This window comes from Homo sapiens, chromosome 9, assembly GCF_000001405.40.
Source record: "Homo sapiens chromosome 9, GRCh38.p14 Primary Assembly".
Classification (NCBI taxonomy): Eukaryota; Metazoa; Chordata; class Mammalia; order Primates; family Hominidae; genus Homo; species Homo sapiens.
This window is the reverse complement of record NC_000009.12, coordinates 90438622-90452668: the sequence shown is the minus strand read 5'-3', so window position 1 is coordinate 90452668 and position 14047 is coordinate 90438622. Positions and strand designations below refer to the sequence as shown.

At 43.2% G+C, this 14047-nt stretch overlaps 1 annotated feature.

The window, feature by feature from the left end:
• Nucleotides 9326-9993: an enhancer, noted in NCBI's record as "NANOG-H3K27ac-H3K4me1 hESC enhancer chr9:93204958-93205625 (GRCh37/hg19 assembly coordinates)". NCBI's record gives its function as "activates a minimal SCP1, AML or CMV promoter by ChIP-STARR-seq in naive H9 embryonic stem cells {active_cell/tissue: H9 hESC(naive)}" and the evidence as "EXISTENCE:reporter gene assay evidence [ECO:0000049][PMID:30033119]".

Sequence of the window (14047 nt, the reverse complement as noted above, 5' to 3'; positions counted from 1 at the left end):
CAGAGAATGTTGCCATTGCATTTACATTTGAAGTTAAATTCAGAATTGCATGAAGCCTGTTTGTGTCAAGAGTTAAACCATTTTAGAAAATTTATTCCATAGGAATCATCAACTCCAGATGGCCTAAAATTAATATATTGAAATCAGTTATAAGAAATTTATCCCAACATTTTATGGAAAATTTCCACAATTCCCATAAACACACTTAACAGCCTCACTAATATTTTCATTAGCATAAAGGTCCTTCTCACTTTAAGCCATGAGTAAAAATTATTTGCAACCTTGTATTTGCCAACATTGACTGACATTGCTTTCAGTTATATCAATCATAAACAAGTTGCAAAAGTAAAAATTTTGATGAGATAATAAATGAATTTCAGAATAACAGGTCAGGAAAATCTTACAATCAATCAAAATCTCACATTAATAAAGTATTACTTATTATATTAAATTATGACACCATTATATATAATTTTTTCATATGTATATATGTATATATATATACACGTGTATGTATGAATTTGCAAGTGAATTTTGTTGTTACTCAGGTAAAACTATTACCCCTTGTGAAGGTTAATTTTTTGTTACAACCCAACTATGCTGTAAGGTGCCAAGATATTTGGTTAAACATTATTTCTAGGTGTGTCTGTGAGGGTGTTTCTGGATAAGATCAGCATTGGAATTAGCAGATGGCCCTCCCAGGTGCAGGTGAGCATCATCCAACCTGTTGAAGGCCTGAATAGAACACAAAAGGTGGAGTGACAGAACTTGCTTTCTTTGCCTGTCTTTGCACTGGGAGATTGGTCTCCTTCTGACCTCAAATTCAAACTTGGACTGGAACTTACATTGTCAGCTCTCCTGGGTCTGTAACTGCTGACTGCAGATCTTGCAACTTCCTAGCCTCTGTAATTGTGTGAACCAATTCCTTATTGTGTATCTCTCCTCTTCCTCTTACTATTTACCTGTATTACTTCGTTCTCACGCTGCTATAAAGAGCTGCCCGACACTGGGTAATTTATAAAGGAAAGAGGTTAAATTGACTCACAGGGCTGGGGATACCTCAGGTAACTTATAATCACGGCAGAAGAGAAAGCAAACACATCTTTCTTCATGTGGCGGTAGGAATGAGAAGTGCCAAAGCAAACGGAGAAAAGTCCCTTATAAAACCATCAGATCTCGTGAGAACTCACTCACTATCATGAGAACAGCATGGGGTTAACCACCCCATGATTCAATTACCTCCCACTGGGTCCCTCTTATGATACATGGGGATTCTGGGAACTACAATTCAAGATGAGATTTTGGTGGGGACACAGCAAAACTATATCACCATCTATCTTCTATCTATCTGTCTACCTATTTATTATCTATCTATCATCTACCTATTAACCTATTGGTTCTGTTTCTCTGTAGTATATTGACTAATCACCCTCAAGTTTTATCAGTAATAAAATAGTTTTAAAAGAAAATGCTTTACATTTTAATACCTTTAATTATACCTTTTTCTATTTTGTGAATGAGGAGCCCCACATTTTCTTGCATGGAGTCCCCAGTCATGTAGCAAGCCCCTGGTGGAGGTTTGAGAATGGCTTCTCAACACTAGCCCATATTCCACTTTGTTCAGTTGCTTGTCTGGGTGGGCTGGGATGGAAGGCAGGGCACTTCGTATTCTGAGGCTGTTGGAATAAAGAAAGAGGTTCTTGGTTTTGTTTGGGATCAAAGCGATTGTCTAAAAGATTTCACAGGACTAGGATTAAATTCTTAAAGATTCTGTGTCTATTCTGGTAAAAGTAGCTGTCTCCTTCTCTGCCTTGAGTTGCATCATAGAAGGGCCCTCTCTCCCATCTTCTATTTCCACCAAATGCATCTCATTTCATCATGACTGTCTCCCCAGAACTTCCCTGGGTCTGAACAGATCTAGGTGAGGAATACAAGCCCCTAGAATGATTTTCCTACAATCTCTGTGCTAGGCTGGAAGACTTTTTTCTGGACATATACAGTAATCATTGCAGCAAATACATTTTGTTGCTTTGAAGTCAAGCTTTGCAGACAAATGACAATGGGGGTTATTTTTCTGGATTTTCTGGTCTGAATCAACTTGGCATGGGTGGATTTTGTGAGAAACACTTTCCACCAAATACGGAAGGTGCAGGGGGTCAAGTTTATTTTCTTCTCTATCTAGCTTCTATCCCTAAAGAACTATATCCCATTTATCTTTAACATCAATCCTTTCTATTTTCTAAATTAATTAGCATTGTGGGGTGGTATTTCTCAGGCAGCATCCACTATTTCCAGAGCAGGTGCTGCAGTAATCTCCATAGCATTCCCTTATTATCAGTGTTTTCTGTGGGCAGAAGCTTAATGACCGGGGAGGTAGTCTGGATCCACCTTCTTCAAGAGCTGTCTGACTATCCCACATCTGGTCCATGGCAGCAGCAATGGGCTCAGTGTGAGGGATCCAAGGCCAGCATCTCAATAGCCTCTGGGGAGGGCCCAGGCTCTGGAATTGCCCTGGGTCAAGGTGGCCCCTCTCATAGCTCAGCAATATCCATGCCGGCCTTCAGGGGGACATGCATGGGGAGCTTGCCGTCTTACATGGCTCTTCTCTTATCTGAGTCATTTTCAGTGCTAATATATCTACTTTACGAGAGAGAAGCATTGGGCCTCTCTGTTAGACAGGCCCCCAAGTGGCCAAGGGCTTTTGCTGTTATGCGTTCTTATGACACATGTCAATGATTCTCCAAGTATGGTCCCCAGACCAGCGACATCCATGTCACCTGGAGCTAGTTAGAAAAGCAATCACTTGGGCCCTCCTCAGGCCTTCTGAGTCAGAACCTCTGCAGGTGGGCCTCAGCAAGTATGTTTTCACAAAGCTTCCAGATCACGCTGCCACACAATGAGGTATGAGAACCACTGAACCACTCAATGCCCACACACCTTCCATCTATCACTTTGTACCTGAAGAACTGGAGTCATGTGTCAGCTCTGCAGCTGTCAAAACAATTTCCCATGATGTCAGCCCCCTGGCTTCCTCTGACCTTTCCCCAGATGAAGTCAGGGCTGATGGGATCAGCTCTCCTCAAGATCCCAGTTCATCTGAGGCCAAGCCCCAGACCCCTGAAGTGTTGCTCTATCAACCAACAAGCTGCCCTTCCACATATCAGTAGCAGGTTTTCCTGTCTGCTGTGTTTACTCTGCAAAATGATGGCATGGATTAATGAGCAATTCTATCCAAAAGTCTAGGATAGACTAAGGACCCAGGGCATTGGTGTGCTATGTGCGGTTGGTTCACAGTCTGACATTCCACACTCATCACACTTGTTAATGTTTCCTGCCACAGGCCCCTCACTGAGATGTGGTTGGAGTTTTTTGATGTGATTGTTTGATGTGTCTGTATCCGACAGCAGACTTCCTAGGAGGTTCCCTAAAGCACTGCTCATGAAGGAAGAGCCCTCAGGTCATCGTATGTAGTTTTCTTTTCATATCTCCTTTCATTTCTCAGACTTCAGGGAACATGAAAATTCTGATGTCTTCTGCCTCCAGATACCCTTCGCTGAAGAGTCATGAACAACCCATGGGGTGAGCAGGCCTCCCTCTGATGGGTGCACTCACATGGATGCCTGTGTCACTAGGAAAGGGCCAATGTTACCCCCAGCAACCCCAAGAAGGGGATCCCCAAAAAGTCCTTGCTCCAGTTGGGCAACAAGGTCCAGAAACACCACCAAAGCAGAGGCTCCGGTTACCTCAAGGCACCCCAACATGGTAGCTCTGCACCGAAGCCGCACGGAGACCCCTTGTGAGTTTGCAGAGGGTGAGGATCACAAGTTACCCCATGGACTGACTGAAAATTGGCAATGATATGAGGTTCCAGTTTTTAGCATCCCGGTGGGAGGCTCCTGCTTAATCTTAGCTGGCGTGTGTCCCTAGGGCCTCGCCAATCCCTGTATCGAGAGAGCTGGGAGCTGCTCATGACCACTGGGGTTGGGGGTCGCGCCTGGACAGGGTTAAGCCCAGGTCAGCTGGGGGCAAGCTCTCCTGTCTGAAGCCCCAAACCCTTTCCCTGGCAGGTCCCAGCCCATCTGAATTTCTATCCAGGAGGAATTATCCCACTGAGGACAGAAGTGTGAGTCAGTAGAGAGCACACGGCTCATCCCCTGGAGAGGGTGGGGACTTGGGGAAATTCAGTGTCCCTTGTCTGAGAGCATGCTCCTGCTTCTCACCATGGCTCTCTGGTGACACTGCACTGCCCACCACTGTGGCAGATGGCAGCCCAGCTGCACAGGACATGTATACAATGTTAGCACCACTGGTTTTCTCCTCTTTCCCTCAGCCACAAAGGCCAGAAAAATTCTGAGGGTTCTAAAGGAGATAGCATGCAGCCTGATGCTGGTCAAGAAAGCTGGGTAGGAAATTACCCCAGGGCAAAATGAGCTGGGAACATAATCAGAGATTGTGAGTGGTGGTGTCCACTGCTTGGCCTGTAGCTACCAGGTGGCCAAGGATTCAGCAAACGCTTTTTGGACATCCTGTGCCCTCACCAAGTCTTACTCTAGAAATAAGAACCATCATGCATCAAACAGGTGCTTCCTTCCTGACTTTCAACCTTCGTCCCATGCAGCTCTGAAGCATTCTGCCTTGCTCCTCAGCCTCTGACCTTCCTCCTCCATTCTGGGCTGAACTCCCAACTTCAAGTACCCCAGTGGAACTCACATAACCATCTCAGGCCTTTGGTACTTGACAGCACTCAGCAAGGGCTGCCTCCTCAGACTTACTGCCGACCCAGGTCCTCGGGCCATGGTTTTTGAGAAGCCACCATTGAATCCAATATCTGCCTGAGTCCTTCTGCCAGCTCTTCCAGTGTATGGCTTATCATGGACCTTCTCTTTCAATACCACATTCTCTAAACCATTTTCATAGGTCACTGTGGGATTATAAGCTGCTCTCTGAGGCTTCCCCCTCTCCTACTTGCTCATGGGATCTCATATGGAAATTGACCCAGTAAACAAACATCTTGCTCAGCTGTAAAAGCACCTTCTCTGCTATCCACTGTATCCAGTGGCTCTCGAGTGGAGCATACATCTCTTCTTGATCCTCTTCACACCCTCAGTCCAGCACTAAGGGAAAATCTAAGCCTCATTATTTCTCTTCTGGGGACATTGTCACTTCTCTTCTTAACTGTGTAGACATCCGGCATCTAAATATTCCTTGACTCATCTCTAGAAACCCTTCTTTGGTCCTCTAGCAGGTATCTTGCAATCAGTAGTCCTATCCTAGATGAAAGCCTCATATCTCTCCTCAACATAACCCAGCACAGAGCTCAGGATCTTCAGGGGAGGCAAGACCCCTGAGCACTGGCCTCAAAGTGGATTATTTCAGACAGAGCCAACCTCTTTACACTTCCCAAATTAAAGACTGTTTAGTCTCTTTTGTTCATTTTTGTGCAAAATAATGTATCTCTTTCCCTGCCTCAAGTTTTATTGCTAAAGAGCCCTTCTGTCGGCCGGGCGCGGTGGCTCACACCTGTAATCCCAGCACTTTGGGAGGCCGAGGCAGGCGGATCACAAGGTCAGGAGATTGAGACCATCCTAACCAACATGGTGAAACCCTGTCTCTACTAAAAATACAAAAAATTAGCCAAGCGTGGTGGATGGTGCCTGTAGTCCCAGTTACTCGGGAGGCTGAGGCAGGAGAATGGCGTGAATCCGGGAGGCGAAGCTTGCAGTGAGCCGAGATCACGCCACTGCACTCCATCCTGGGTGACAGAGCAAGACTCCATCTCAAAAAAGAACCCTTCTGTCATCTGCCTGTGCTGTGTACAAGGCCAAGGGGTGGCAGGGAGCTTTCTGTCTCACAGACAATGGACATATGTTTAACAAAAAAGAGACAGATGCTCAGTCAGAAAGCTATAAAGATAATTATGTCCTCCAGGCCAGGGTCACAGAGCTGCTGCAAGTGATTCACAGGTCACTTGGGAATGTTCTCAATAAAAGCTTGATGCATTTCTGACCTGAGAAAGCAACACAGCCTGTGCCCTGTTGGCATTTTATATGATTTAGGGCAAGAAAGGAGATTCAAATACCATCACCAGTGCAGCTCAACTATAGTCAAATTAATTAACATGACTGCGAGAATGTGAGGTGACATGAAACGTATTTGCAGGGAAGCCACTTTTTAGTGATAATTAAATGAGAGGAATTTAACACATTACAAATCAGAGACGAAAAATGTCAGAGCATAGCTTGCTGATTCCTGGAGAGAACACGTTTGCAGACACCTGGTGAAAGGCCTGATGATCCTGTACAGAACAGGAGAACCAGAGTGAGATCTCATAACGTGGACATTACTGTCATGATGTGATTTTCTGTGTCACTACCTTAGTCATTCCATGTGGCCTGTCAGTGTTTCCTGGTGGGTTATATTGCTTGATTTTTATAACATTTAAAGTAAATGAATGCTCTTCCCTTTAGATGAATTCTTACAAGGTTGAGTCTCTATATAAAGACACAAAACAGAATTGCTGCTAGAAGGAAACCGGGTTGGGGAAGGAGGACCCAACCTGCCCTGGACCCATAGAGTAGCCCCTAAGACAAGAGAGGTAGGGGCCGGGCACAGTAGCTCATGCCTGTAATCCCAGCACTTTGGGAGATGGAGGTGGGTGGATCACCTGAGGTCAGGAGTTTGAGACCAGCCTGGCTAACATGGTGAAACCCCATCTCTTCCAAAAATACAAAACTTAGCTGTGCGTGGTGGAGCACACCTGTAATCCCAGCTACTCAGGAGGCTGAGGCAGGAGAATTGCTTGAACCCAGGAGGTGGAGGTTGCCAAGAGCCAAGATCATGCCATTGCACTCCATCTCAAAAAAAAAAAAAAAAAAAAGGGTGAGATGTGTGTGTGCATGCTCAGGTAGGGTTGTGTGCATGAACATATGTGTGTATGTAAATTCCAAAACAGAATTGCATTAGCTGCAAAACTTAATAAAAATTTCTACCGAGAGTGAGGTCATGTCTTCCCGGACCTCTGCTTTAGAGGCTGCACAAGGGAAAAGGTGTAGAATTTAAGTGACTAGGACAGTGATTCACTGCTTGGGAAAAGGGCGGATCATAGGTTGAGATAAGCTCTCTCTGGTCTGCAAAGCTGTCTTCCTCCTTCCTGTGTTTGAACAGATCATTTTTTCCCCCTTGAATATCAGCAGTGAGTGGGTATGTTTTTAGAAGCCATGTGGAAAGAAAATCATATATCTTCAAATCCTCTATTCACACATAACAGGGAAGTTTATGCTGAAATCCTGTAAGATGCACGGGAACTGACAGGTATAAGTGGCAGATCCCCATCTGGCTTCTCACAATCCTTCTGGGCAGACACACTCTGGGTGGGATGGGGCAGAGCAAACCTGCTATGTTGCTTCCCACTGCCCAGGGGTTTAGCGATTGTGTGGCTTCAGTGGAATTCACAAACAATGAATCCACATAGGGATCCACTGTGCAAATCAGTCGCGTGCCCTGACTGCTTTGGGGACTCTATTCATCTAATTCTTTATTTTAAAAAGTGACTAGGTCCACAAAAATTCTACTCCACAGCTTCTGAGCATAAAATGGCATTTTAGAAACTTGAAAAAGAGCTGATTTATGGTGTCTTGCAGTCTGTTTCTTTGAAATGTGCATAACTTATACTAAGGAGCATGCTCACAAACTACAATAAAATCTGATTCAACACTTCTGAATAAACATTCGTCCAAGAGCCCTTCAAAGGCAGTTTTGAATCTGCAAGTCTTTCTCTGTCTTCCTTATTTATCACACAGCTCCAGTGGGGACCCTAAGACTAGAGGCTGGGGCGGTCTAGCAGTTGACATTCCGCCGAGCATCCTAAGAAGATCAGAGAGGCTCAGAAGCACTTCAACAGTTGATGATCTCAGTAGCATCTTTGGCTTTTTCATTTGCTAAGTGTCTGATAAGGAGAATGGATAGCAGAGTGTTGATCTTCTCTTTGCATTTACAAAGCAGATAAGGTGTTAATGCTTCCACAAGTCAATGAAAATTATGTCAGACAAACTTCTCTTCAGGTTCTCCAGCATTAAAGAATATGGTTCAGAGCTGTGCCTTCTCCGTATAAGTAGTGATGTTTGGAGCCTTGCAAAGTCCATTGGCAAAAAACAAACCTTGAAAAGGTGTCGAATGCATCGGGGGCTTTGTAGCTTCCTTGAAAAATAGGCCGCGGACTTCCATGACACTGATGCACACACAACACTGTCCTGTAGACCCAGCTTTCACAACGTTCACCAAACTCCTTAACACAACCAAGCAAGCACCCTTATCTTACTAATCCTGACACCCATGTTGCAGCTCTCGTCTCTATCTGGGGCAGCACCTGGCCTCAAGTGTGCCCCACCTGCACACAGAGTCTACCTGCACGGAACTCTAGAGTTACATGGTGCACCTGCTTGCTGTCACTAAATTTCACTAACACTGCTTGGAACAGCTAAAGCCTCTGGGATGCCCTCGGGTTGTAAAGCGGAGGCTACCATATTCTCAATCTCAATTGAGCAAATATCCTGTGGTCACACATGGAAGCTGGACCAAGAAGAAGTATGTTTTCCATCAACAAAAGCTGATTTGTCTGCCATATGCATGTCCAAACATATGCTGAGAAACTGGAGACATCAAATTTGCTTTAAATATCCATTCTGATTTTCCCCAATATTAGCACCATATTTCCAGAGGTGCCAGACTTTGTCACTTGTTGCCTTAAGAACTTTGACCTGGAAGAGAGCACAACAGCCTTTGGAAGCCTACGTTGGCCATAAGGTTCAGGTCCAGAGGAGATCATACATACAAGGACCTCTAGATGGGAAAGGCGGAGCTCTGGAGCTAGGAGTCAAGAAGCAGAGAGGGGCCTGGGGAACTCGAGCAATAATAGCACTTGCAATTACTTCTGCTTCTCTTGGTAGAGGTTAGATCTCAGAGATGCTGCTGCTGTTGTGATGGTTTTACAGGAGTCAGAGCACTAAGAGTGGGATTTCCTGGCTCATAAAATATTATTAAAAGCAACAAACAAACAAAAAAACACACAAAACATATTTCCAGCCAGACCGAGTGCAGAAATGGTGTGTTGTCCTTGAATCGAGTAGGCATCTAGAGGTGGTCTCTCCATGTCATGGGTGGCGTTTGCGTAGCCCACAGCATCGCCAAACTGTCAGTGCCCAAATATCACACACACACACACACACACACACACACACACATACACACACACTTCTGGGATGTAACTGACCACACAAGGTTTTTGCAGTGCTGATGCCAGTAGCAACCAGGATATACTGGAGGATGGAAGCCTTCTCTCTTCATCTGCAGGGACCAAGGAAGCCTCCAGGATCTCATGCGTCTCCTGGGAGAGACCCTGGGGAGAGATCCCAATTGTCATGGGCATAGAATCTTCTCATGAGGCTGCTGGGACTTAGCATCAGAATATAAGCTGATTTAAGTGATCGAAAGAAGAGGATATTTCTTGCCTACTGAGTTAAGAGTTAATCGTGCCCGGCTCATCATCTTTTTTAAAAGCCGATCTTTTTAAAGTCAGATAGCTAACTATAATCTCGTCATTTCCAAAAGTTCTCTTCACAGGCTTAGCACCAGGAATGGCTTTTGGCAGATGTTGTCAGGTATTTTCTAACTTCAGTTGGTTGTCTTTCTAAATCAGGGTGGTGGTAAATTGCTCTCAGATTAGAAACAAAGCCAAAGAGTGAAGACCCAGACAGGAACACACTTAAAATAACAAAAGCCTGTTTGACGTTACAGCAACACAGTTTGCCTCAGGCACTGAGGGTTCGTAGCTTGGACTTTTGATTTTCCAGAGGATAATTTAATTCCAAAAGGGTCTTAGTTTAATCTCAAATTCTTTTGATAAACACCTACATGGAGGGAAAATGTTAAATGATGGGGTGGCGGTTGGTGGACAGAGCTTCCTATTTTCTAACAGGGCAGGAGGAAAAGAAAAGAACATAAGGAAGGATATGGGAAATATATTCCCTGGACATGAGGCTGGGAAGCCAAGCTTCACTCTAATAAAAGAAAAGGGAGAACAGTCCTCAGTATCCTTATGTCCTCATTTGGAGCAACCAACACGCCACTACATTTTGCTAAAGAAAAACCAGAGCTAGACAGTAAAGTGGTGAGAAAGAATTATTCAGGAACTACTGCAGTCAGGGAAAAGACACCTCAGTGCAAAACTGGGCTTAATTCCAAATACAAGGAAAAGTGAGAATTTATAGCTGAGAAGCAGGATGGAGGGGTCGGAGGATGAAAAATTACTAAGAGGAAACAGCTGGGGTTGGAAGAATTCTATTCTCTAAAAAGATCTAACAGGATTCTTGCTGAAGACAGGCTGGGGTCACCAGACATCACCTGGGGGAGGGGGAGGATGAGGAGGCCGATGAGATATGGAGGGTGGGGGGTTCTCACCGCACTGACTTGGCAAGATTTCTGTTGTAACTGAGCGACTCAGTCCTGACAAAGATGCACACCATGGTAGAAGCCTGCAGTGCTTAGAGGATGCTGACTAAAGTTAAGTCAAGCAGGTGCGGGGTCTTGTTGATTAATTCTTTGTTTGTAGACTATAGTCATCTACTCTGGTTAATTATTACAAAATAGGTATGTGTCAAAAATATCAGAGATACCTCACAGAATGAGTCACAATCTGGAAATCCACCCTGGCAGAACACAGGGCAGTGCCAGGGGTGTAAGTGGCAGGTGCCAACACTTAGCCATCTCCTCACGGCTCATTTGACAATTGCATGAGCATTACCTCTTGTCCTTGTGTCAATCCATTCAGCATCTGAGGGCCTCACCCAGCCCTTTGCTAAGAGAGAGGAAGGCATCTTAATTACACCCCCACCAGACAGTGCACACTGGGAGGAGATGATCCCACAGGTTTTCTGAAAGATGAGAAAACACTCATCCTGGAAATGGGCAAAGGGGTGCTATAAATAAAAATAAATAAAATAAAGTAAGATTAAGTCTCTGAAAGAAGCCTTTAAATCATGACTTCTCTGCAGAATAGTCTAATTTAGGGGCTAGACAAAGACCCAGATTCCTGAACCCTCAGGTAACTATTTACAATGTGGATGATAGAATCAGCTACAGCCAACATTACCTGAGACATGCACACTACTGGCTTTTGCTAATTGCATTTAACTTTTTTTTTTCTACAGACTAGTAAAAGAGAATATCAGCAGAACTTTAAAGATGCAGACTTGAGCTTGGATCTCAGCTCCATCATATACGATTTTTTGTGAGTTTAGGCAAGTTAATCTGAAATTTTGAGACTCAGTTTGTTTTTCTGCATAACATGATCCTGCCCCAGAATCATGGGGATTAAATGTAATAATGCATGTGCACTGCTGTATGTCTGGCACCTGGTAACAAATTGATACATGTTAAAGGTTATTAAGGTTATTTCCCCCTCTTTTATAACTGTTTGTCAATAATATGGTTTAAATGTGCCCCCTCCAAAATCCAGTTGTTGCCAATGTGGCGATGTGAAGAGGTGGGACCTTTAAGAGGTGATTTGGCTATGAGGGCTTCTCCATGTGAATTGAATTAGGGCTTGTTAAAGGGAGTCCATCTCTTCTCACCTTTCTGTCTGCTATCATGCAAGGACACAGTGTCCCTCCCCATTAGAGGACTCAGCATTCTAGACACCATCTTGGAAGCAGAGAGCAAAGTTTCTGCAGACCAACGAACATGCTGGTGCCTTGATCTTGAGCTTCTAGCCTCCAGAATTGTGAGAAATATATTTCTGTTCTTTATAAATTACCCAGTCTGACACCCACCATCCCAAGACTGAACCAGGATGAAGTTGAATCCCTGAATAAGCCAATAACAAGTTCTGAAATTAAGGCAATAATAAATAGCCTACTAACCCAAAACAGCCCAAGACCAGATGGATTTACAGCTGAATTTTACCAGCGGTACGAAGAAGAGGTGGTACCATTTTTTTCTGAAACTATTCCAAACAATTGAAAAGGGGGAATTCTTCCCTAACTCATTTTATGAGGCCAGCTTCATCCTGATACCAAAACCTGGTAGAGATATAACAAAAAAGAAAATGTCAGGCCAATATCCCTAATGAACATTGATGCAAAAATTGTCAATAAAATACCAGCAAACTGAATTCAGCAGCACATCAAAAAGCTTATCCACCACGATCAAGTTGGCTTCATCCCCAGGATTCAAGGCTGGTTCAACATACACAAATCAATAAACATAATTCATCACATAAACAGAACTAAACACAAAAACCACATGATTATCTCAATAGATGCAGAAAAGGCCTTCCTATGTTGAATAAAATTCAACAACCCTTTATGTTAAAAACTCTCAATAAACTACATATTGATGAAACTTACCTCAAAATAATAAGAACCTTTTATGACAAACCCACAGCCAACATCATACTGAATGGGCAAAAGCTGGAAGCATTTCCCCTGAAAACTGGCACAAGACAAGGATGCCCCTCTCTCACCATTCCTAGTCAACATGGTATTGGAAGTTCTGGCCAGGGCAATCAGGCAAGAGAAAGAAATAAAGTGTATTCAAACAGGAAGAGAGGAAGTCAAATTGTTTGCAGATGACATAAACCTATGTCTATAAAACCCCATAGTCTCAGCCCAAAAGTTTCTTAAGCTGATAAGCAACTTCAGTAGTCTCAGGATACAAAAATCAATGTGCAAAATCACAAGCATTCCTATACACCAACAACAGACAAGCAGAGAGTCAAATCATGAATGAACTCCCATTCACAATTGCAACGAAGAGAATAAAATACCTAGAAATACAGATAACAAGGGAAATAAATGACCTCTTCAAGAAGAACTACAAATCACTGCTCAAGGAAATCAGAGAGAACACAAATGGAAAAACATTCCATGCTTATGGATAGAAAGAATCAATATTATGAAAATGGCCATACTGCCCAAAGTAATTTATATATTCAATGCTATTCCCATTAAACTACCATCAACATTCTTCACAGAATTAGAAAAAACTATTTTAAAATTCATATGGAACCAAAAAAGAGCCCATATAGCCAAGACAATCCTAAGCAAAAACAACAAAGCTAGAGCCATCATACTACTTGACTTTAAACTATACTACAATGCTACAGTAACCAAAACAGCATGGTACTGGTACAAAAACAGACATATAGACCAATGGAGCAGAATAGATAACTCAGAAAGAAGACCACACACCTACAACCATCTGATCTTCAACAAAGCAAGCAATGGGGAAAGGATTCCTTATTTAATAAATGGTGCTGGGAGAACTGGCTAACCAAATGCAGAAAATTGAAGCTGGATCCCTTCCTTATATCTCATACAAAAATTGATTTGAGATGGATTAAAGACTTCAATGTAAAACCCCAAAACTATAAAAACTCTAGAAGAAAATCTAGCAATACCATTCAGGACATAGGCACAGGCAAAGATTTTATGATGAAAATGTCAAAAGCAATTGCAACAAAAGCAAAAATTGACAAATGGGATTGAATCAAACTAAAGATCTTCTGCACAGCCAAAGAAGCCATCATCAGAATGAACAGACAACCTACAGAATGGGAGAAAATTTTTGCAAACTATGTATCTGACAAATGTCTAATGTCCAAAATCTACAAGGAACTTAAACAAATTTACAAGAAAAAAACAAACAACCCTATTAAAAAGTGGGCAAAGGACATGAACAGGTACTTCTTAAAAGAAGACATTTATGTAGCCAACAAGCATATGAAGAAAGCTCAACATCCTTGATGTGTTTTCATGTACCCTCTTCCACCCACTGCTTCAAGACTTATCTGTTTTTCATGTCTGTGCAGGGGAAAGCTGGGGGAAGAAATAGAGTGTCTGATTAACTTGCAAACAGGAGAACACCAAAGAGTCAAGAGGTGTTCACTGCAAAGAGAGGATGGTGCTAAGAGGAAGAGGCATCCATCACTAATTTGGAAAAATCCTTGGCCATTATAAATTCAAATATTTTTTCTGCTCCATTCTTTGTTACT